This window comes from Homo sapiens, chromosome 3 (assembly GCF_000001405.40).
Source record: "Homo sapiens chromosome 3, GRCh38.p14 Primary Assembly".
NCBI lineage: Eukaryota > Metazoa > Chordata > Mammalia > Primates > Hominidae > Homo > Homo sapiens.
Window position 1 is genome coordinate 76,214,631 of NC_000003.12, and position 26,773 is coordinate 76,241,403.

Sequence of the window (26,773 nt, forward strand, 5' to 3'; positions counted from 1 at the left end):
GCTGAGGCTTGAGTAGGTAAACAAAGCAGCCAGGAAGCTTGAACTGGGTCGAGCCCACCACAGCTCAAGGAGGCCTGCCTGCCTCTGTAGGCTCCACCTCTGGGGGCAGGGCACAGACAAACAAAAGACAGCAATAACATCTGCAGACTTAAATGTCTCTGTCTGACAGCTTTGAAGAGAGAAGTCGTTCTCCCAGCACGCAGCTGGAGATCTGAGAACGGGCAGACTGCCTCCTCAAGTGGGTCCCTGACTCCCGAGTAGCCTAACTGGGAGGCACCCCTCAGTATGGGCGGACTGACACCTCACATGGCAGGGTACTCCTCTGAGACAAAACTTCCAGAGGAACAATCAGGCAGCAGCATTTGAGGCTCACCAATATCTGCTGTTCTGCAGCCACCGCTGCTGATACCCAGGAAAACAGGGTCTGGAGTGGACCTCCAGCAAACTCCAACAGACCTGCAGCTGAGGGTCTTGACTGTTAGAAGGAAAACTAACAAACAGAAAGGACATCCACACCAAAACCCCATCTGTATGTCACCATCATCAAAGACCAAAGGTAGATAAAGCCACAAAGATGGGGAAAAAACAGAGCAGAAAAACCGGAAACTCTAAAAATCGAGCACCTCTCCTCCTCCAAAGGAATGCAGCTCATCACCAGCAATGGAACAAAGCTGGATGGAGAATGACTTTGATGGGTTGAGAGAGGAAGGCTTCAGAAGATCAAACTACTCCGATCTAAAGGAGGAAGTTCGAACCATGGCAAAGAAGTTAAAAACTTTGAAAAAAAATTAGACGAATGGCTAACTAGAATAACCAATGCAGAGAAGTCCTTAAAGGACCTGATGGAGCTAAAAATCAGGGCACGGGATCTACGTGACAAATGCAGAAGCCTCAGTAGTCGATGTGATCAACTGGAAGACAGGGTATCAGCAATGGAAGATGAAATGAATGAAATGAAGCGTGAAGAGAAGTTTAGAGAAAAAAGATTAAAAAGAAATGAACAAAGACTCCAAGAAATATGGGACTATGTGAAAAGACCAAATCTATGTCTAATTGGTGTACCTGAAAGTGATGGGGAGAATGGAACCAAGTTGGAAAACTCTCTTCAGGTTATTATCCAGGAGAACTTCCCCAATCTAGCAAGGCAGGCCAACATTCAAATTCAGGAAATACAGAGAATGCCACAAAGATAATCCTCGAGAAGAACAGCTCCAAGACACATAACTGGCAGATTCACCAAAGTTGAAATGAAGGAAAAAATGTTAAGGGCAGCCAGAGAGAAAGGTCAGGTAACCCACAAAGGGAAGCCCAGCAGACTAACAGCTGATCTCTCAGCAGAAACTCTACAAGCCAGAAGAGAGTGGGGGTCAATATTCAACATTCTTAAAGGAAAGAATTTTCAACCCAGAATTTCATATCCAGCCAAACTAAGCTTCATAAGTGAAGGAGAAATAAAATACTTTACAGACAAGCAAATGCTGAGAGATTGTGTCACCACCAGGCCTGCCCTAAAAGAGCTCCTGAAGGAAGCACTAAACATGGAAAGGAACAACTGGTAAAAGCCACTACAAAAACATGCCAAATTGTAAAGATCGTCGAGGCTAGGAAGAAACTGCATCAACTAATGAGCAAAATAACCAGCTAACATCATAATGAGAGGATAAAATTCACACATAACAATACTAACCTTAAATGTAAATGGACTAAATACTCCAATTAAAAGACACAGACTGCAAATTGGATAAAGAGTCAAGACCCATCAGTGTGCTGTATTCAGGAAACCCATCTCACATGCAGAGACACATATAGGCTCAAAATAAAGGGATGGAGGAAGATCTACCAAGCAAATGGAAAACAGAAAAAGACATGGGTTGCAATCCTAGTCTCTGATAAAACAGACTTTAAACCAACAAAGATCAAAAGAGACAAAGAAGGCCATTACGTAATGGTAAAGGGATCAATTCAACAAGAAGAGCTAACTCTCCTAAATATATATGCACCCAATACAGGAGCACCCAGATTCATAAAGCAAGTCCTTAGAGACCTACAAAGAGACTTAGACTCCCACACAATAATAATGGGAGACTTTAACACCCCACTGTCAACATTAGACAGCTCAACGAGACAGAAAGTTAACAAGGATATCCAGGAATTGAACTCAGCTCTGCACCAAGCGGACCTAATAGACATCTACAGAACTCTCCACCCAAAATCAACAGAATATAAATTCTTTTCAGCACCACACCACACCTACTCCAAAACTGACCACATAGTTGGAAGTAAAGCTCTCCTCAGCAAATGTAAAAGAACAGAAATTATAACAAACTATCTCTCAGACCACAGTGCAATCAAACTAGAACTCAGGATTAAGAAACTCACTCAAAACCGCTCAACTACATGGAAACTGAACAACCTGCTCCTGAATGACTGCTGGGTACATAACGAAATGAAGGCAGAAATAAAGGTGTTCTTTGAAACCAACGAGAACAAAGAAGACACAACATACCAGAATCTCTGGGACACATTCAAAGCAGTGTGTAGATGGAAATTTGTAGCACTAAATGTCCACAAGAGAAAGCAGGAAAGATCTAAAATTGACACCCTAACATCACAATGAAAAGAACTAGAAAAGCAAGAGCAAACATATTCAAAAGCTAGCAGAAGGCAAGAAATAACTAAAATCAGAGCAGAACTGAAGGAAATAGAGACACAAAAAACCTTTCAAAAAATCAATGAATCCAGGAGCTGGCGTTTTGAAAAGCTCAACAAAATTGATAAACCTCTAGAAGACTAATAAAGAAGAAAAGAGAGAAGAATCAAATAGACGCAATAAAAAATGACAAAGGTGATATCACCACCGATCCCACAGAAATACAAACTACCGTCAGAGAATACTATAAAAACCTCTACGCAAATAAACTAGAAAATCTAGAAGAAATGGATAAATTCCTCGAAACATACACTCTCCCAAGACTAAACCAGGAAGAAGTTGAATCTCTGAATAGAACAATAACAGGCTCTGAAATTGAGGCAATAATTAATAGCTTACCAACCAAAAAAATCCAGGACCAGATGGATATACAGCGGAATTCTACCAGAGGTACAAGGAGGAACTGGTACCATTCCTTCTGAAACTATTCCAATCAATAGAAAAAGAGGGAATCCTCCCTACCTCATTTTATGAGGCCAGCATCATCCTGATGCCAAAGCCTGACAGAGACACAACAAAAAAAGAGAATTTTAAACCAATATCCTTGATGAACATTGATGCAAAAATCCTCAATAAAATTCTGGCAAACCGAATCCAGCAACACATCAAAAAGCTTATCCACCATGATCAAGTGGGCTTCATCCTTGGGATGCAAGGCTGGTTCAACATACGCAAATCAATAAATGTAATCCAGCATATAAACAGAACCAAAGACAAAAACCAGATGATTATCTCAATAGATGCAAAAAAGACCTTTGACGAAATTCAACAGCCCTTCATGCTAAAAACTCTCAATAAATTAGGTACTGATGGGACATATCTCAAAATAACAAGAGCTATCTATTGCAAACACACAGCCAATATCATACTGAATGGACAAAAACTGGAAGCATTCCCTTTAAAAACTGGCACAAGACAGGGATGCCCTCTCTCACCACTCCTATTCCACCTAGTGTTGAAAGTTCTGGCCAGGTCAGTCAGGCAGGAGAAGGAAATAAAGGGCATTCAATTAGGAAAAGAGGAAGTCAAATTGTCCCTGTTTGCAGATGAAGTGATTGTATATCTAGAAAACCCCATTGTCTCAGCCCAAAATCTCCTTAAGCTGATAAGCAACTTCAGCAAAGTCTCAGGATACAAAATCAGTGTGCAAAAATCACAAGCATTCTTATACACCAATAACAGACAAACAGAGAGCCAAATCCTGAGTGAATTCCCATTCATAATTGCTTCAAAGAGAATAAAATACCTAGGAATCCAACTTACAAGGGATGTGAGGGACCTCTTCAAGGAGAACTACAAACCACTGCTCAAGGAAATAAAAGACGATACAAACAAATGGAAGAACATTCCATGCTCATGGGTAGGAAGACTCAATATCGTGAAAATGGCCATACTGCCCAAGGTAATTTATAGATTCAATGCCATCCCCATCAAGCTACCAATGACTTTCTTCACAGAATTGGAAAAAACTACTTGAAAGTTCATATGGAACCAAAAAGAGCCCACATCGCCAAGTCAATCCTAAGCCAAAAGAACAAAGCTGGAGGCATCACACTACCTGACTTCAAACTATACTACAAGGCTACAGTAACCAAAGCAGCATGATACTGGTACCAAAACAGAGATATAGATCAATGGAACAGAACAGAGCCCTCAGAAGTAATGCCGCATATCTACAACTATCTGGTCTTTGACAAACTTGAGAAAAACAAGCAATGGGGAAAGGATTCCCTATTTAATAAATGGTGCTGGGAAAACTGGCTAGCCATATGTAGAAAGTTGAAACTGGATCCCTTCCTTACACCTTATACAAAAATTAATTCAAGATGGATTAAAGACTTACATGTTAGACCTTAAAAACCATGTAAAACCATAAAAACCCTAGAAGAAAAACTAGGCAATACCATTCAGGACATAGGCATGGGCAAGGACTTCATGTCTAAAACACCAAAAGCAATGGCAACAGAAGCCAAAATTGACAAATGGGATCTAATTAAACTAAAGAGCTTGTGCACAGCAAAAGAAACCACCATCAGAGTGAACAGGCAACCTACAGCATGGGAGAAAATTTTTGCAAACTACTTACCTGACAAAAGGCTAATATCCAGAATCTACAATGAACTCAAACAAATTTACAAGAAGAAAACAAACAACCCCATCAAAAAGTGGGCGAAGGACATGAACAGACACTTCTCAAAAGAAGACATTTATGCAGCCAACAGACACATGAAAAAAATGCTCATCTTCACTGGCCATCAGAGACATGCAAATCAAAACCACAGTGAGATACCATCTCACACCAGTTAGAATGGCAATCATTAAAAAGTCAGGAAACAACAGGTGATGGAGAGGATGTGGAGAAATAGGAACACTTTTACACTGTTCGTGGGACTGTAAACTAGTTCAACCATTGTGGAAGTCAGTGTGGCAATTCCTCAGGGATCTAGAACTAGAAATACCATTTGACTTAGCCATCCCATTACTGGGTATATACCCAAAGGATTATAAATCATGCTGCTATAAAGACACATGCACACATATGTTTACTGCAGCACTATTCACAATAGCAAAGACTTGGAACCAACCCAAATGTCCAACAATGATAGACTGGATTAAGAAAATGTGGCACATATACACCATGGAATACTATGCAGCCATAAAAAATGGTGAGTTCATGTCCTTTGTAGGGACATGGATGAAGCTGGAAACCATCATTCTCAGCAAACTATGGCAAGGACAAAAAACCAAACACCGCATGTTCTCACTCATAGGTGGGAATTGAACAATGAGAACACATGGATACAGGAAGGGGAACATCACACACTGGGGCCTGTTGTGGGGTTGGGGGAGGGGGGAGGGATAGCATTAGGAGATATACCTAATGCTAAATGACGAGTTAATGGGTGCAGCACACCAGCATGGCACATGTATACATATGTAACAAGCCTGCACATTGTGCATATGTACCCTAAAACTTAAAGTATAATAATAATAATAAAAGAGAAAACAAAAAAAAAACTCGATCCCCAGTATGACAGTATTAAGCGGTGTGGTCTTTTAGGGGGTGACTAGGATGTAAAAGCTCGATCCTCACACAGGGATTAGTGCCTTATAAAATGTGTGGAGGAGACCAGTGAGGCTGCTTTTGTCTTTCTGCCCTTCCGCCTTGTGACGATGCAGCAAGAAGGCTTGCAAATGCCTTGGGAGCATTGATTTGGGACTTCCCAGCCTCCAAAACTGTGAAAAATTAATTCCTGTTCCTTATAAATTACTTAGTCTTAGGTATTTTGGTACAGGAGCACAGATGCACTAAGACATTCTTTGAGTGGTGTTTAATCCTCTCCTGATATCCAGAACATAAATACTGAGATGTAAACAAAAGAAAGAAAACAAACATATTTGATGAAAACACACACACACACACACAGACATGTTCAAAACAAAATAAGGAGGAAATAGGATAATTTTAGTCCTTAGTTCTATAACTAGTCACATGATCATAGCTGGTATTTGTAACCACCTTCCTCTACCACCCATTCTGTATTTCCTTTCTCTTTAGCAAGAACTTCCACTGGTTGTAGAACTTGCAGGGTGGTCACAACTAAACCTTCGTTTCTAAAAGGATGGGCCTGGATTTGGTTGTTTTAGTTTTGCATTGAGCTTAATCATAGAACATGGTAATACTAGGAGACATCATGAAGGATCTCCTGTGTTGTAGATATACTCTTCTTTACTTCCATTGAGAAGTAGTAGTTCAATTTCCCCAGGTAGTCTGAATCAATAACCCCAGGCAATATTGACTGTTTCTGTGGTGAAAGCATTCCTCCATCTAGAACTAAGTCCTCTTGCCCAACAGAAGATAAAGTCATGAGCATGGGAAGCAAAAATTTTGCTAGTGGGTAACTCAGGGTGATGGTGAGTAGTGCCACTCTCATTTTACAAGTGGGTAACTCAGGGTGATGGTGAGCAGTGCCACTCTCATTTTACAAGTGGGTAACTCAGGGTGATGGTGAGTAGTGCCACTCTCATTTTACAAGTGGGTAACTCAGGGTGATGGTGAGCAGTGCCCCTCTCATTTTACAAGTGGGTAACTCAGGGTGACGGTGAGCAGTGCCACTCTCATTTTACAAGTAACTCAGGGTGATGGTGAGCAGTGCCACTCTCATTTTCCACGCTTTGATTCCTGAACCCATTAATTGTGGCTGTTGATGAAACTACTATATGTTGGAAACTGCTTCAGAGAATATACAACCTTCTGCAGAATCTTGGCCCAGCTGTGTAAGGTATTGCGATCTAGCTGGTACTGTAACTGAATTCAAAAGACCCTTTTATCATTTTTATCAAGTTAGCTGCTTCTGGATGATGGGGAACATGGTAAGACCGATGGACTTCATGACCATGAGCCCATTGCCACACTTTTTTGTCTTTGAGGTGAGTTCCTTGATCAGAAGCAATGCTGTATTTAATACTGTGCCTGTGGATAAGACATTTTATAAGTCCACGGATGGTAGTTTCGGTGGAAGCATTGCACCCACGGAAGACAAATCCATAACCTGAGAAGGGTCTATTCCAATAAGCACAAAATGCTGCCACTTCCATAGTGGAAGCAGTCTAATGTAGATAAACTGCCACTAGGTAGCTGGCTGATCACCCTGGGGAATAATGCCAAATGGGATCACAATGTGGTCTCTACTGCTGGCAGATTGTATAATCTGCCAGTGGTGGCCATAGCTAGGTCAGCCTTGGTGAGTGGAAACCTATGTTGCTGAGTGCATGCATAACCTTCATCCCTGCCACCATGTCCACCTGTTACTGGTGGAATGTATCTGAGCCACGTGGCACCAAAACACGTTACCAGTGGCAAATTGGTATGGGTTTGCAGCAACTTCAGTTCTTGCCTCCTCAGAAGAAAGAATCTGACTGAGAGGCATAAGGTAGAAGGAGGGGCTGAGGCAAGTTTTAGAGCAGGAGTGAATGTTTATTTAAAAAGCCTTAGAGCAGGAATGAAAGGAAGGAAAGAAAGTATACTTGGAAGAGGGCCAAGTGGGTGACTTGAAAGACAAGTGTACATGTTGACCTTGTGACTAGGCTTATACGTTGGCATAATTCCAGGGTCTTGTGTCACTTCTCCCAACCCGCCCAACCCTTGAGATCTTATTGGGAAGCTGCTGATAACCAGTTTTAGGTATTTTCTATCCAGCAGGAGACTGCCTTTCCCTGGCACTGTCTGTGACCAATTATTACTTTAGAAAGACAGTTAACAACCATCTGACCATCACCTGATGGTGCCTGACATTCCTGGTGTGTGTGGGTGGGGGAGAGCCCTCTCCTACCCGGCTCATACCAGACTACTATAACAGATCCATGTCAATAAATTCAGACTGATCCAAGTTTATGTTTGTTTCACCATTATCCCACACTTTTTTTTTTTTCAGATGGAGTCTCCTTCTGTCGCCCACGCTGGGGTGCAGTGGCATGATCTGGGCTCACTGCAACCTCCGCCACCCGGGTTCAAGTAATTCTCCTGTCTCAGCCTTCCGAGTAGCTGGGACTGCAGGCACCTGCCACCATGCCCAGCTAACTTTTGTATTTTTAGTAGAGATGGAGTTTCACCGTATTAGTCAGGCTGGTCTCAAGTTCCTTACCTCAGGTTATCTGCCCGCCTCAGCCTCCCAAAGTGCTGGTATTTCAGGCATGCGCCACCGCACGCAGCCCTTATCCCACAGTCTTAATATCCATTCCCAGACATGCTCCCCAGACTTCTGCTTGTATAACTTAGAAAACTCTAGTTCTTTTGGAGTATATTAATGGTACACTTCCTCATGAATTATGCTTCGTTTATCACCTTTAGGATCCTGCTAGAACTGAAGTCTAGTTATGGTCTAGAAGCAAGGAAATGATTAATTGGTAGATCCTGAAGAGAATCAGCATTATTTTATATTCCAACTGCCTCAGGAGAGGCCATTACTGTTTCCTGGGGCAATGCGGGGTTAACCCCCTCAGATAGAGATGAAAAGGCTGATACCTTTGGTGTGGGGAAGTAGGTAGGGGGGTAGGGAGGCCACTTTCACCCAGGGTGGGGAGGCTACTTTTCTTGGGGTTGGAGAAGCCACAACCACTGAGAGTAGGGAGATCTCTTCCACTGGCGAAGAAGACTCATCAGAATTTAGGTGCTCAATATTCCCAGCTTCATCAGGAGCTTTCCAGACATCCCCATCCCAGCTTATAGGTTTCAGTTTTTCCCCAATCGGTGCCCTCATTTTAACAGTACACATCCTTCAAGGCTGGGAGTACAACTTGTATTGCAATTAAGCCAATTACAGGATAAGGTCAATAATCTGAGTATCAGCAATATCAGCCCTTCCGCTACAGGAGATAAGGCTCTCACTCAGGGCACACTTAGAAGCTCTTAGGTCATTTGTGCAGCCCTTGATCTGGGATTTAGAATTTCTAAGCTAATTCTTTGATCTCATCATTTGTCCAGTGACATTAGGAGCAACCAATCAGCATCATTCTATTCCTTAGTTTTCCAAAAATGTTTTAAAGTATCATATTCAAAGTTATTTAGCTCTTTACTTCTTATAAGTAGTGGGTTAGAAATAGCTAATATAAATATTTTGCATATCTCTAAAAATAGTTCCTGCCATGAACTATCAGTCACTGCTTTGCATTTTTATAATCAGATTAGAGAGTCACATCCAGAAGCTCCAAATTCAGTTCAGAAAACTCAACTACATGAGCCATTTTCTAATAAGTCTCTTATTACATATCTACATATATCTTATTGGTACTGTTTATTTGGGGAACCCTCAATAGCACAGATTTTTGGTACCAAGAGGGGTTCTAGAAGAAAATTTTGAGAATGAGTTTTCTGAATATTGGATTGATATAACATCTGCAAGGTGGAGAACCAGGAAAGACAGTTGTGTAATTCAGTCTGAAGATCTGAAAACCGAGAGAGTTAATGGCATAATTCCTACTTAAAAGCTAAAGGCCTGAGAAACTTAAGAGGATATGAGGCAGAGGCGTTGGTGTCTAAGTCTCCAAGAACTGGTAACTTCAAGGGTAGGAGGAGATAGCTGTCCCAGCTCAAGAAGATGGAGAAAATTTACCCTTTCTCCACAATTATGTTCTCTTTGGGCTCGTAATGGATTGGATGATGCCCACCAACATTGTTGAGGGCAGATACTTTTTACTCAGTCTACTGATTCAATTGATAAGCTATTCTAAAACTACTGTCACAGACACATGCAGATATAATGTTTTACCAGCTATTGGAGCATCTCTTAGCCCTGTCAAGTTGACCCATAAAATTAACCACGACTTACCTAATTCATAATTTTCTAATGGCTAAATTCTATTTAACCTTGAATCCTGAGTATCCACAAACTAGCACATTCCTGTTCTTCTAGACTCAGCTACTTCCCTTTCCTTATTCCAGTCACACTTCTCAATCATCAGTACAAACACTTCAATCATCCTGGCATTTTCATTGATTTAGCTTAAACACGAGGTCTATAATTAATGCACAATCTCATTTCCCCCTTCCCTGACCAGGAAAGTCAAAATATTAACTGTGAGCAATCTTTTTAGAGTCACTAATACACTTAAGCCTATCAAGAGTGAAAGGTATGATAAGCTGTAGACTCCATTCTATTTTGTAAACTTTCTCATTTTCTTCTAACAGAAAGTAACTATACTTCTTAATATACTCATTTATATAAATATGGTAACTAGTAAATATAAATATTTTCTGAGTCATTTTAATTTAAATAGTGAATGAGAAGTTAATAGGATATTATTCACTCAAGGAACACTCACTGAGGGTCTATAACAAAAACAGTGGGGGCTGTACATTCCCCACAGAAAAAAGAGCATTAAATTGAATTCAAATTTTTCAATGGGCTTTCAGAAGTTTATTATGTTTTAAAGCAAAGATAAATTTACACCAATGTCAATGTCTTATGTTATAGCCCATTGCAAAATATGTGTGTATTAATTTTTTATGTCGTAGGTATTACTTTACTGACAAATTGAATTAAATTGTATTCTTAGCTGCTTATTTTTATTTCCTAATTTGAAAATGAATTCAGGCCAGGTGTGGTGGTTCATGCCTGTAATCCTAGCACTTTGGGAAGCCAATGCAGGCAAATTGCTTCAGCCCAGGAGTTCAAGACTAGTCTGGGCAACATGGCAAAATCCAGTCTTTACAAAAATACAAAAACTTAGCTGGGCATGGCAGCATGTGCCTGTAATCCCAGCTACTCGAGAGGCTGAGGTGGGAGAATCCTTGAGTCTGGGAGGTGGAGGTTGCAGTAAGCCAAGATCGCACCACTGCACTTCAACCTGGATGACAGAGGGATTCCTTGTCTCCAAAAATAGAACAATAAAATAAAATAAAATAAAAATTCATTTTAAAAATGTTAAAAAGAAGGAAAGTTATAAAAATGAATTCAGACTTATTTTTAAAAGCCTGAAACTATCAGTTTTTTAAGCTTATACTTTCAAATACCAAAAAACTCTAAACATTGCAAGATACATTAACTCTAAGATTTTTTTTCCAAGTTCCAAATTCTATGATTATGGCAAATATGGACCAATTGCAAATATTACTTCCAAATCTTAAAAATTGTTCAACATTGCCCAAATGTGGAGATAAAGGGTGTTTGTCCAAAATAACAGTGCATTTTTAATTTAGGCCTCTAAAATAAATAGCTTATCCTGAGCATGGAAGCTTTGAAAATAAATTCAGCAAACCCTGAGATTCCTTAAAAAATAAACAAAACTTAATACTAAGAAATTCAATGAAGTCTATAAGAACACTAATTTTTTCTCCTTATAATATAGGTCAGAAAATCTGTTTAACATTAGAGAAGGCAAATAAGTGTCATAACATTAAGGATAGATATGAAATAATTTAAAGATGATGGAGATTCTTTACATGCAACAAATTAACTTTAAACAAATAATGAAATAATTTTAGCACCACAAAATTCTTCTGTGTCCTGAGATGTGTGTGTGTGCCTGTGAGCCTGTAGTGTGTGTATGTGTGTACAAGCTGGTGTGTGCCCTGAAGGGTGGTGATGAAGGAATAAGGGTTGTTGTGGTCAGAATTGTCACATATTTCTGTCTACACTATTCTTATCTGAAAATCGAGTAAGGAGAACTACGTGTTCTCTAATGTTCCTTAAAATTGTAAGAATTCTATGCAAAGTTTGGACCAGTTTTTAACAAATCAATTATAATGTATTTTTTTATTGTCTCAAGTTAGATTATCATGAATCTCAACCCAGCCTAGACAAAATAATATCCCTTTAGTGATGTATAAAAAAAATTAGTTACAATTATTTCTCCTTTACTTTTTCTTATTTTTATTCAGTCATTTCCTTCACTTTGGCAGTGAACAAACCACTTGCCCTAGGCCCTAATAACTTTGAAAAGCAATCTGAGCTTAAAAATCAATTTAATGGCATGTTTCTATAGCATTAGGGTCCATTGCTTGCCTGTATTTGGCAAAGTTAAATGAGAAGGTGATCTGTTATAACACCTATAAAAATAAATGTACTCACAGCAGTGAAAGCCCATGAAAGTCCAGGAGGCCTCACTGTGCATGTCAGCTCTAAACATCTGTGCATCTCCATCAGCCTCCAGGAACAAGAAGAGATGACGGGGCCTGGGTGTTGGCATTCACCAGCATTGCCATTTTCTTTCAAATTTAGTGTCCAACAATTTTGCCGACTGGCTCACTACAGTGAATCTGGAATGGTTTAGAGACTTGATTTCATAAAATGTGGTAATTCCTTTCTCTTTCTGAAAGTATATTTGGTGAATGCTAAATGAATCAGATACTTTTTGAGAATTCTTAACCCTTGATTCTGCCAGCACATTGCTGGTCGGCCTGTCGTTAGCTCTGTTCTTAATGTTCTGCCATTATTGCGAAGAGTACCAAATGTAAGGGCACAGTATGGGATAATTATATTACTTTTATTTGCAATTTTCACCCATGTTTCAGCATTCCTTCATTTATTCTTTTTCTGAGTGGATAAAAATGATTGTCTCTTTTTAAAAGTATTTGTGATTAATTTTGATTATGACTCTACATACTTTGTACACCTCAAATAAATCTTACGATAGTTAATAACATACACCATTTTTAGGTATATATTTGTTTCTTCTGTGATGATGCTTAGCATCAGGATCAGCCTTATAGCTTTTCATTTTTGATAGCATCTATTATGTTTTAATTTTTAAAACTATATGTTTCCTTGAATCACTGTGAAAATAAGCTTAGTATTTTTAAGAAATCCACACCTTTAGTCCAAGGATAAAAAGAATCTCTACTACTTGGCTATCTAAGGTGTGATTTAAGACCAACGGAGTCACCTTAATTTTAGAGCTTTGTAGACATTTGAAATCACCTACCCCACCCTAGACTTCTGCTTTAACACATCCGCTGGGGATTCTTCTGCGCATGAATATTGGAGAAGCACTGCTCTGGCAATCTTTTGAACACACACATAATCACTTTTTTAGTGCCAAGCTTTTATTTTTATCTACAAACCCAAGCCTAACTGGTTTTAGATTTCGTTTAAAGATATGATCTAACCTTTTGATAATATGCCTAATATACTCTATACAAAAAAAGTAAGGGTTATATTTGCTATTTTCCTTTAAAGTATTGACTAAGAATCTTACATAATGTCAACACTGTGTGTTTATGCTAGAATTTTATAGTATACCCTAATTTGAAATAAAAAAGTGTGGATGTTTAAAAACATGTAAAATATCAGGTGATTATTTTGTGAAAGACCTTGGCAGTCTACCAAAGGATTCTCCATAATATTTTCTGTTTCAACTATAATAATTCAATTTATAAAGATTCAATTTATATACAATTGCAGAGCACATATAAGACAGCAAATGGATTATGGCAGCAGCAATTGTATGGGGGTTATGAAACCAAGAATGGTTCTATAAATAGGCAACCCAGAGACAGTACCATGTATTCCTTCAGGTTCAGCCAGAAACTTGGTGCATTTATCAGCATAGATCATTAAATCCTAAACACTTTTATCTTAGTTTTTCCAAAAGATCTGTACAAGATTTTTAAATAGCAAATTACAGACAGACAGTTTTTTGGAAAGAAAACCCATAGTATTTGAAGAAAAGTATAAATTAAATACATTTAATGTTGAATTATTAGAAAATGAATGAATTCATATTCATAAAAGAACAAATTCTTATTCTTGTATCTTTAATTCAGCGTTGCAAATCAGAATTTTCATTTGCCCTTTTCATTATTTACAACATTTTATTTTACATAAATTATGTCAACATCTTAGCAAATCTAAAGTATCTGTCTAATCAAACCAAACCAGTTTACTGACTGCCATGAAACTTTCATAAGAACTCACAGATTTTACTTCTCAACAAAATAAATCACAATAAGTGGATAAACAAATGTTGATTTCATTTCCATGAAATTGGAAAATATTTGGTTATTTCAAAATATCCTTAAAAAATTAGTGGGGCATGCTGGGACACAATTGTCATCACAGCTACTTGTGACGCTGAGATGGGAGGATTGTTTGAGCCTAGGAGTTCAAGGCTGTAGTGAGAAGTGAGCTGTGATTGCACCACTGCACTCCAGCTTGGGCAAAAGACCGAGATCCTCTCCCTCTCTTAAAAAAGAAAAGAAATAAGATATCTTAAATAAAATCTTTCCTCTTCTCAAATTCTCTAGTATATCAGTTTCCACAATTTTTTTTTGGAAAGAAAACCCACTGCATTTGGAGAAAAGTATAAATTAAATACATTTAATGTTGAATTATTAGAAAACTAATGATTTCTTTCTCATAAAAGATCAAATTCTTATTCTTGTATCTTTATCTCAGTGTTGCAAACCAGAATTTTTATTTGCCTTTTACATTATTTGCAATATTTTATTGTAAGTAAATTATTTCAATATCTTAGCAAATCTAAAGTCTCTATCCAATGAAACTAGACCAGTTTAGTTTAATTCAAAGTAAAATTACAATAACTAATTTAGCTGATTTTCTATTAGTTGTATCATCATTTCAAAAAAACAAGCAATAGATGAATATCATTTTACATCATTCCTTTTTGGATTACATAAATATCAAAATATATTTGTATTAAGTTTCTTCAGCCTACTCAATTATTCTTAATGTGAATCAAATGAAAGAGTTAAATAAAGTATTATTAATAGGAATCATATGGTTACCATGATATGCATATAATGATGTATCTCATATAAAGCCATTCCCTTTCTCTATATTCACATCAGGAACAGCAGGTTTTACTTTTTGTTTTGTCCTATTTATCCTAGCTTCTTTCACATTATGAAAGAAGTAGAAAATATTTTGATAAATATTTAATAAAGCAGTAGAATAATATTCTATGTAATAAATAGAAGATCTATTTATACAATTATATTTACAGAGGGGTAACAACTAGAAACATCAACCAAAGGTGTTTCCTCCATAACTTTAGCTCATGAAAATGAATGTAATGGATTCTCTGAGAGCAAGAAGAAATGTCCCAACAGCACTGGTACCACCCTGTGCTGAGATAGAAATACTCATCTGTGCTGGCATCTCAGGGGCTCCAGCCTAAACTAACCTTATCATGGATGGCAGGCAGGAAAGGAGACCCTGGGAGATACTGCCCAACCATTGTTTCTTTAGCAAACAATCAAGCCTTTTCTTAAAGAGCAAAAAAATGATGCCATCAGGTGTCAGCTCCTCCAGTCTCTCATTCTTTCCCTAATAACTTGATACCCACACATCTATCTTGATACCACACATCCTTACATCACCCCCTCCACTGAAAATAAGGACCTTTTTCTTCATGGAGTCCAGTGCATTAATTTCTCCTATTCCTGACTCCATCCACTAGCCCATAGCTTCAAAGGCTCTCTCTTCTTATAAAGACATATTTTCTTGTATTTCTCATTTGAAAAAAAAAATGGCTTTCCTTTACATAGCACGTCCTTCCCAGGTTACTACTACATTTGTCCTTCCAAAGGCTAGGGATTCTCCATTAATTGTCAAATTAACAACTGCTTCAGTCTTGTCTCACTTGCCTTATCTGCTTTGCTTTATGAGTGCTAAGCCACATCATCTTCTCCCCATTTAGGGTGCTTCATGTCTCTCTGCCCCATTCTCCTCTTCTGCGTTCCTCGGTATACCCATGAATACTCTTTCCCTGGCCCTTTTCTCTTCTCATTTTTCCTCATCTTCTTTCCTCTATGTTCTCTGACTTTTCATCTGGAATTACTTACTACTATTTGTTATTCAATCGGTCACTGAATGTAAAGATACTACTCTGCCCCAACCCTCTCCTTCTCACACTGTTTTGGTTTGAATTGTAATTCCCAGAAAGATATGTTAAAGTCTTAACCTCTAATACCTGTGAACATGACCTTATTTGGAAATACATTTTTTGCAGATATAATGAAATTAAAATGAGGTCATTAGGGTGAACCCCTAATTCCGGACTGGTGCCCTTTTAACAAAGGAATTAGGACACAGACTTGTATATCAATAGAACACTTCAAGGACACAAAGGCAGAGATCAGGGTAATGAATCTACAGGCCGGAGAACACCAAAGATTACCAATAAACCACCAGAAGCTAAGAGAGAGGCACGAATCACGTGTCCCTCAGAGCCCGCGGAAAGAATCAACACTCTCAACCTCCTACTTTCAGACTTACTGCTTTCAGAACAATGAGATGATGCATTTCTGTTGTTTGAGGCTACCCAGTCAGAGAAACTTTGTTAGGACAACCCTAGGATGTTAATACACACCCATGCCCTTCTGCTGAGAATTTCGGAGACTGATGCAGCCCAAGTTTCTCAGCGTAATACATGAAGAGCAATTATAACCGTTTCTTGCTAATCCTCCTCTTCATCAATTGCTACCTCCATTTACCTTCTGCTGCTTTATGTACCATGATGATGCTTCTGTTAATCTTTCCCTTAGCACCCACTGCTCTGCGGTTTTATGTCCATTCCTTCTCAGGCTCATTCTCTTCCTCTGTAGTCCTTCATCTGTAATGCGAGTTACCCTTGCCTGATAGGTATACCGTTTTTTGTTCTACAAAAGCCAGTTTCAATTTCATTTTTTCTTTGATGACTTTCTTGACTCCTCTTCTGAAATTGCCCATTCATCTGTAGTTTCATTTACTATCTCCTGTCAGTGCCTATTATGAGATTGGGATTTGGAAGGTGTTTTTCTCTACGTCCTTCAACTCTAACACAGTGGCTGGCCTGTAGCAGTTGGTGACTTTATTATTTAATAAACATTTGTGTACTTACTACATGTAAGAATGTTCAAGTAATCTGATTTAAGATCTAAGAAACAAGGATGAAGCAATCTTCTGTATAGAGGTTTAGTTTTTAATGAGAAGTTAAGACATTATGATGTATAAACAAATCTGTACTGTAATATTATGTGTGGTATTCAGGCAGCAACACGTAGAAAAACAGATTAATTCTGAATAAAACCCAGTAGGTCCTTCAAACAAAACTGAAATTTATTGACTCAATAAAAATACTTGATAATTTTTTATTACTTATTCTCTATACAGAAGTTTTTAAAAATTGTGTCCTCATTAGTAAAATAAATTTATAGATTAAAGGCTAACTTGCTCAAAATAGACTGCTAACATCATAAATGTTTCATCATACATTGATCCTGGTGGTGCCAAGAATCAGTCAGTCAGGTTGTGATCTGAGCTTTAGCATGAGTGATCAGCTACAGAGACAGCACTCAGCAAGATCACTAAGAAAAGCAGAAAAACAACATGCAGGGCCTAGATTTTAACATCAGCAAAATACTAAAGAAGTTCTCAATAGTTATTACATTTTTAAGCATCTCAGTATATATGGCTTCATAAGGTATAGTAGACTTGAGAAGAGAAGAAAAGACTAGAACTAAAGATAATTTGGATGTATCTTGGCCTATTGGTTCAGAGTCTAGAAATTTAACTCCATGGAGACACGGTCAATACAGATCAACTAATTTGTTCTTTCTGGCACTATTGCTGCAACAGCAACAACGTATTTGAACCTGTAATCATTTCTATAACAGTAAGACAGTTGTTTGACATTCTCATCTTGGAAAGGAGAATATATTTAAATATGATTATTTGCATCAGGGCAAATTTGATGCAAAGTTGCAACAGTACATCGATTGCAAATATAAACTATGGTCACATATCAGAAACAGTCATTGTATCTGAATTGTCTCTTATTTAACGATCACAAACAAATCATTTAAACAGTAATTCCATCTTAACAGTTGATGCTGTTAACTGTATATCAATGCTATTTAACCCTTCTTATACATTTCATGATCACAGATTACAGCCAGGCATTTTTTCCACTACTTCCTGTAAATCCTACAAATTTCCTCTTGTGAGTGGTCTTTTCTAACTCTTTTATAACTATTTCAAACCTTTCACTCCCTCCCACTCCACCACCACTCTCAGTATATAGCCCAGCCTTTTATCTCACAGAGAAAATAGATAGCAATATGCTCAGCCACCAGCTACCAAATTGGCTAACCTACTTGTATATGTGTTAATCTCGCACCGTCACTCTCTTTCTAAAGAAGAACTGTCCTCCAGTCTTTCTAAACCTTCTTGAAAATTTTGAGTCATGGATTACTGGTTTCCAGAGTATGGAACCTTATTCTTCCTATTGAATTCATTCATTCTTTCTTATTTTATTTTTTTTCTACATCAATTCAAAGTTTACTGCCAGGTGTTATTCTATTTTTTTTTAATTTTATTTTTCAGGTAAAGTCTCACTCTTGTCTCCCCGGATAGAATGCAGTGGCTTGATCTCAACTCACTGCAAATTATGCCTCCCAGGTTCAAGCGATTCTCCTGCCTCACCTCCCAAGTAGCTGGGCTTACAGGCACTTGCCACCACACCCAGCTAATGTTTGTATTTTTAGTAGAGATGGGGTTTCACCACGTTGGCCAGGCTGGTCTCAAACTCCTGACCTGAGGTGATCCGCCTGCCTCGGCCTCCCAAGCTGCTGGGATGACAGTTGTGAGCCACCACGCCTGGCCTGCTGGGTATTATTGTAATTGCTGGTAGTACAGTAGATAATGGATCTGCCCTCAGGTTATCTGGAATATAGCATTTACTGCACCCTTTCTGTCAGCCTGTGCACATGCTTCAGTCTCTCCCATTTGAAAGTCCAGCAAATACAACCTACGCATCAGCTCCACATTTCCTCCAGTTATGTCTTACCACTGTCTACTCATTCAAAGCTGAACGTAATTACTAAGTTGTTAAATTCAAGCACGTCATTTCTTCATGCCCGGACTTATCCTCCAATCTATTTCAATTTGATGTCTTGTCTTTGGTGCATTACCAAAAGGTTTAGATTCAAACAATTCATAAACGTACACTCTTTTAGTTTACTTTTTTGTTATTTTGTTTTTAACTTTTATTTTAGGTTTAGGGTTACATGTGCAGCTTTGTTATACAGGTGTATTGTGTTGTGTTGTAGGGGCTTGCTGTACAGATTATTTTGTCACTCAGGTAATAAGAATAGTGCCCAATAAGTAGGTTTTCAATCCTCAGTCTCTTCCCACGCTCCAACCTCAAGTAGACCCCAATATCTGTTGTTTCCTTCTTTGTGTTGATATGTATTTGAAGTTTAACTCCCACTTATAAGTGAGAACAGGCAGTATTTGGTTTTCCATTCCTGTGTTAGTTTGCTTAGGATAATGGCCTCCAGCTCCATCTATGTTGCTGCAAAAGACATGAATTCATTCTCTTCATGGTTGCATAGTATTCCACGTGTATATGTACCACGTTTTTAAATCCAGTCTGTCATTGATGGGCTTTTAGGTTGATTCTTTGCTATCATGAATAGTGCAGCAATGAACATATGTCTTTATGGTAGAATAATTTATGTTCTTTGGGTATATATTCAATAGTGGAATTGTTGGGTTGAGTGGGAATTCTGTTTAGATTCTTTGAGGAATCTCTAAACTGCTTTCCACAATAGCTGAACTAATTTATTGGGTTGGTGCAATAGTAATTGCAGTTTTTGCCATTACTTTTAGTGGCAAAAACTACAGTTAATTTTGGACAAACCTAACAGGTTTTCACCAGCAGCGTAAAAGTGTTCCCTTCTCTCCACAACCTCACCAGCAACTGTTATTCCTCGATTTTTTAGTAATAGCCATTCTGACTGGTTTGAGATGGTATCTCATTGTGGTTTTGATTTGTATTTATTTAATTACCGATGGACATGTTTTCGTATGCTTGTCATACACTGTTTTTAAACAAAAAAATACCTTGATGTCTTTGGTCAGTCTATTTCAAATTTATGTATATTTGCCTTTACTACCAGTAAAATTTGTCCTGCTAAGTTTTGAACTTCCTTGGCACAAGTGACCCCTTTGTTCTTTCCAATTATCTTTTTGAAATTGGAGTGTTTATCCTATGCCTGTTCATTATATTTTGGAAGAAGAAAACTCATTTCCTAGTTGAAATCCACAGATGAAGGGTTATTTTCCCCACGGCAGATTGTACCCAGTCTCTCTTGTAGCTGATTTAGATGGTTTAGAAGATAAAAATTTGGACTTTGAGCTGTTGCTGGAGTGGTTTAAAACTCCCAAGGATGTTAAGATGTCGTGAAAACATTTTGCACTTAGAAGGACGTGAATTTTGGGCCCAAAGGGTGGGTAAGTTGTAGTGAGTGGACTGTAGTCTCTAAAAAGTTATGATTGAGTCCTCCCTCACAGTAGTTGTGAATGTGACTTATTTGGCATTGAGGTGCTTACATAGGTAACCAAGTTAAGATGGAATCATACTAACTTATGTCTTCATAAGAAAAAGGAGTGGGAGATTTAGACACAGAAACCTCCCCTCTCTCCCCATGAGCACCGCCCCACCGCCCAACACACACAGGGAAGAAGGCCATGTGAAGGTAGAGATAGAGATTGGAGTGAATTTCTACAAGCCAAGAGGTGCCCAGCATTGCCAGCAACCAAAGAAAGCTAGAAAAGGCAAGGAAGCCACCTTCCCTAAAGCCTTTGGAGGGAGTGTGGTCCTGCTGACCTGTCTACGACTGCGGAGAATACATTTTGTTGTTTTTAGCTACCTGGTTAGTGGTCATTTGTTGTAGCAGCCCTAGAAAACTAATACAGATCTTGGTAGTCCAGAGTAGTTCATTCTGAATTAGTATTGAAGAAACCATTAAAAAAAGTCAACTTAAAGAGACATAAAAATTTAAAGCAACCCTCAGGGTAACTTTCTAAATTTGGAATACGTGAACTTGTAACTGTACGTGTTCATAACTTGTCACATTTGCTTAGAGAGAAAAGTTCCATAGCCATTTTATATAATTCATTGGTGGATTGTTGGTATTTGTAACTTTAGGGCATTAATTGCATTGTGGGTTTTAAAAACAGGGGCATTTTGGAAGTTTTGAGAACTTTGGTGGGACAAGATTAATAAAAGCTGAAGAGCCAGTGAGAGTTTCTTTGGTGGAGAATTTTAAAAATTGGAAGAAGAGAAGGTAGGATGAAGAAAGCAGGGAAGGAAACACATTTAAGTTATCAAAAATAATAGAAATAAAGATGAATGGATTGGTAATTTCATATGTCAATAAACTTTAAGGAAATGAACCTCATATAGTTAATTTTCTGCCTTATTTGGTTGTTAATCACCAGCTCAGATAATTCAGGTCCTCAGTTATGTTTTTTTGTTCTAATTAAATGGAGTTTGCTATTAATAATAAAGTTAAGTCAATTATTTAATTTTATTTGCCTATATTTAATTTTCTATTTATATAATATCAATTTACATGTAGTATAGATGTATTCAGTTTTAAAGTGTAAATAACTAAAAACATTCTAATTATTACAAAGCATGTTTTTAATCCTTATATCTTTTGTGTTTAAAAATACTTAAGAAACACGGAATTATGTCAATGTTTATCTTGGTTTTGGAGGCTTTAAATAGTATAACATCCCATTCCTTTTGTATAAAAATGTATCTCTAAAGTGCAGACTGAAATAAATCTTGAGGGTCAATTTTTACACATTGTTATGTATAAAGACCATATTTTAGCAAGGTGAATGTCTTCATCAAAGAACAAAATCTGAGATGTTCTTGCAAAAGCAATTGACAAAGTTTGAATCGTGGTTAAGTAATTTTCGTGTTACTTTCTACTAAGTAGATTATTAGTGCTGCTTCTGCATTTCCAACTCTGTAAATCTTACAAATGACAACACTACAAGATACTGCAGTTTTTATTTGTGAATATTGGAGTGGGACATTGGAATAATTTATTTCCTTGTCAAAATTATGAAAAAGGAGAAGTTAGAATTCCTTTAAAGAAAAAAATACATGATTAGGTTTTCTGAATTAAACATGATATTAACTATTTGAATAGACAGTTCAGAATTCAAGAAGAAATATCAAATTACTAGATAACGTAAGATCTGGTAGGAAAAATATAACCCTAAGGTATATAATGTAACATCTGGTAGGGAAAATATACCCCTAGTGTATATAATGTTGCATTTTTTTCCTTTATATGTAACATTTTATGAGTTAAATTACCAAAGCTAATTTCTTAGTTGTTACATGGATTGGTTAATAGAGTAGAACTTCAGTCATTTGAAATGAATATTGTCTTTTAAGGTATATGTAGTTAATAATTAGAAAGCAATACAATATATGGCATTTTAAATATTTTACTGAATGAATGAGTGAAATTTAATTAATGTCTTCAATTACAGAAGCCATTAGTTGTGCCTCCTTGTAGCAAGTAAATGAAATTTTCCATACTCAAACAATGTAAAACTAAAAGATACCTAAATCTTGGTGTTAAAGTCACTTTAATATAAAAACTGTGAAAGAAGGTCTACATTACCTAAGATGGAATCTGTGGAACCTATCAATAGGCCAAGCTATAATCATTAATGGTTTTGTTTTTTCTTTATATATCTTGTCTAAACATTATGTTTAAAATCATTAAATAGAAACTAAACCTTTACAAAACAAATTCCAAAGAAGCTGTATCTTAGGATCCCTCCCTTTGAAGATATATCTCAATAATTTAATATAAATGTTGGACTCAGTAGAATGTTTGCCATGTCAAATAGAAAAATAAACATCATCCTTTGTATCATTGAGACTTCCTGACTGTTCAATCTAGGAATGACTTAAAAAAGAAGCTCAATGTCCTGGATAGTTAATAAATAAATAAATACCTACTGAGCATCTTTTTCATGCCAGCATGGTGCCAGGAGAATACACTAATGAGTGAAACATGTATGATTACTGATGTGTGGCTAAGCTTGGTATCACCCAGGAACAGAAAGAAATAGGAAAAAAATAAATAAATATAAAAAGCAATGTGGTTAGAGGACATGAGTGTGAAAAAACTTTGGTAGAGTATGAGATTGGAGCGGTAAGCAGGACCAAGACTCAGGTATTTTCAACTGATTACAATGAACTCGTGTTCTAAGACAGCGATTTTCCCCTCAAACCTTGTGGCTGAGATTAAAGGCATACCGAAGAGAGGCATCTTATCAGCCTTTGTGTAGCTGGTGGGGACCTGGGCTATGTGGAGACTTGGGGTCTGATTTCTTTTGATGGAAAGAAGTCCCATTCTTTTACTCTAAAATGCCATGCACATTATCACATTATGGGTACTATGGCAAAAAGGTCTGAAAGACATGAAATGGACTTTTTGACCATTTAAAGGACTTGGGAGGTTATTCTTACTGAAATTTAAAGCCAAAGAAAAGTTGAAAACAATGGAATCTGACTGTGTTAGTCTGTTTTCACACTGCTGTAAATGAATACCCAAGACTGGGTAACTTATAAAGGAAAGAGGTTTAATTGACTCACAGTTGACGTGGCTGGGAAAGGCCTCAGGAAACTTATAATCATAGGGGAATGTGAAGGGGAAGCAAGGGACTTCTTCACGTGGTAGCAGGAGAGAGAAGAGTGAGGAGTGAAGTGGGAAGAGCCACTTATACAAAATCATCAGACACCTTACTAACTCTCCTGAGAAGAGCATGCGGAAAACCACCTCCATGATCTAACCACCTCCCCCAAGGGCTTCCCCCTAGACACAAGGGGATTATGTGAGAAGAACATGGGGAAAACCACGGCCATGATGTAATCACCTCCCCCCAGGTCTCCCCCTAGACATGAGGGGATTATGTGAGAAGAACATGGGGAAAACCACCTCCATGATCTAATCACCTCCCCCCAGGTTTCCCCCTAGACATGAGGGGATTATGTGAGAAGAACATGAGGAAAACCACCTCCATGATCTAATCAACTCCCCCCAGGTCTCCCCCTAGACATGAGGGGATTATGTGAGAAGAACATGAGGAAAACCACCTCCATGATCTAATCAACTCCCCACAGGTCTCCCCCTAGACACGAGGGGATTATGGGGATTATAGTTCAAGATGAGATTTGGGTGAGGACACAAAGCCTAACCATATCACTGACTAGACCTCACTTCCTGCTTTTAGAGAGTAGATTGTAGAAGAGTGAAAAAATAAAGGCAGAGAGACCAATGAGAAGCCTTTTGTAACTGTCTATTCTAGGGTCTCCAGAAGTGTGGTCCAAGGACCAGCAGCATTGGTATCAACTGAAAACTTGCTAGATACTCAAATTTTCAGTACTGACTCCTTCCTGATATTTACATTAATCTATGTTTTAACAAGACTGCCAGCTGATTTCAGTGCTCACTAAATTGTGAAAACCACCGCTATAATCTAGGAATGATGACTTTGGTAGAATGGTAGTTATAGAGATAGAGAGAAATAAATTTTTTTAAGGGAGGGCAACAATAAATACTGCAGTATCCAAATGTCAGCCACAATGTCCTAATTCCAATGGATACTACTAAATAATCCTATTTAATAGAAAAATTCAAAATTATCTGGCATGACTTTATATAATATGCATGTTTATGTAGTATAGAATACGTATATGTATATATATATATGTACATATATAGTATGTATCTAGATAATGTGTATATAAGTATGTATACAGACACATGCACAATTTTTTAAGAGAAGTTGCCTTGATGAATTTATTTGGGTGTAGGTTCAAACCAAGCAACTATTGGACAGAACAGGCTCTGTTTTGTAGAGATAGACAGGTGTTGAAGTCCAGTCGGAATTCTCTTGACCTTGGGCACATGTGTGTTTTATAGCACATGATCTGTGATTTCATTTGAGTACTAATGAGAATGCATGAATTGATTCACAAGTACTTCTTGGGAAGAGCCATGATGGTCTCTACTTGATCAAGATTACAAATTAAAGTCTTTAATTTTTGTAACAAAACAATCATTGACACTTACCTAAATCCTGGTAATAACAAATGGTTTTTGTAAAGTGCTTATCTACAGTGACCTTGGCCTCAAATTGGAGCCTAACTGGCTCCTGTGCAAAGTGCCAGCTGATTGGTCCAGAGAGTAAATGTTGCAAATTCTGAAGAAAAAGAGATCACAGTCTAGGTGCAGATTGTCAGAGAAACCATGTTGATGATGAGAGGTGTAAATGGGGCTTTGCAGGCACGTTGGGAGTGAAACAGGCAGGAGGAAGACATGGTACACGATGAGAAAAGCAGTTGCCAAGGAGGGAGGTGGATATGGTCACAGTGTGATCAGGCAGAGCACAGGCCGTTCTAGACATGAAGCTCTGTGTTTCTGGAGTGGAGTAGTATTTACAAGGCTTGATTGTTAATCTAGAGCTGTACTTTCTTTATTATTATGCTGTAAGTTCTGGGGTACCTATGCAGAACATGCAGGTTTGTTACATAGGTATACACTTCCCATAGTGGTTTGCTGCACCCACCAAACCATCATCTACATTAGGTATTTGTCCTAATGCTCTCCCTCCCATAACCCCCACCCCCCGACAGGCCCCAGTGTGTGATGTTCCCTCCCTGTGTCCATGTGTTCTCATTGTTCAACTCCCACTTAGAAGTGAGAACATGCGGTGTTTGGCTATACTTTCAAAGGGAGTGTTGGTTAACCGGATGTCCAGGCAAGTCTTCAAAAATAGTTTCAGTGGGGATTTTTATGATAAAACTAGTATATTAAGTAAATTATTTGAAGGGTGTGATGACATTCAAGATTCGTTGAAGTAGAAGGAAACTTTGAAGCATGTTTTAGAGACATCTAGAATAATCTAAGTGCTATGATTGGAGTGAAATGAAAAATAGAAAAAAGATGCTCTTTGATTTTGTGTAGTAGGAAAGGCATTGCATTGGAAAACAGTAAATTTCCTGTGGGTGAGGTGACGTCCTGCTTTTTTTTTCCACACCGTTCATCTAAATCACCAATAGATACATATACAAGAGATACTTATCATTATCCAATTGGTAGAATTTCAGTTGTGGAATGATCAGAAATTACTTGTACAGCCATAAACACTGAGGGTTTTGGGCTGCACTCATAGAGACTACATAATCCTAAGGTCACTTCCAACTCTAAAATGTCAGAACTTAGTAAATGAGAAAGGTACTTCCTCTACATAAAGCAAGAAAATATAGTTTAACATGTAGTAATTATCTTCCATTTTACAATAAAAATATAGTCCTATGGAAGTTGTAGATTTGGGAGGACATTTCCATAGAAAGATAAATCTCTCCTCATCCAAACAGTTTTGGTTTATGAAATTTGTAAAGATAGGAATCTATCAATAGCATCTCATTTACATTTCATTAAAATGGTCACCTCTTGGTAGCGTGGTTATCTGTGATAAAAGCGTATTTCTATTCCCCACTCACAGGTATTTCCTAGTTTACTGGCCTTTCTAAAACTTTAACTCTGTTATTGAATAACTATTTCATGATGCCATGGCTTCCCGGGATCTTAAGGACATGGGGAAATAAAAACAATGAAGAAGAAAAGCACATTAACAAAGAAAGACTAAGAAGTTGTTCAAACAAACGACGATGTCAAAATCCATCAATAAACATATTCGCATTCAGTGAACAAACACTTACTGGTCATTTGCTATG

General features: G+C 37.8%; 1 protein-coding gene across 9 annotated transcripts in view, besides 1 other annotated feature; it reads left to right on the plus strand.

The window, feature by feature from the left end:
* Nucleotides 1-26,773, plus strand: part of ROBO2 (roundabout guidance receptor 2) — a 1,743,290-nt gene that overhangs the window by 307,956 nt on the left and 1,408,561 nt on the right. The window lies entirely within an intron of this gene.
* Nucleotides 17,951-18,120: an enhancer, noted in NCBI's record as "experimental_71192 CRE fragment used in MPRA reporter constructs". NCBI's record gives its function as "activates a minimal promoter by MPRAs in K562 erythroleukemia cells, with activity observed for the introgressed 3:76281817 variant allele {active_cell/tissue: K562}" and the evidence as "EXISTENCE:reporter gene assay evidence [ECO:0000049][PMID:34662402]".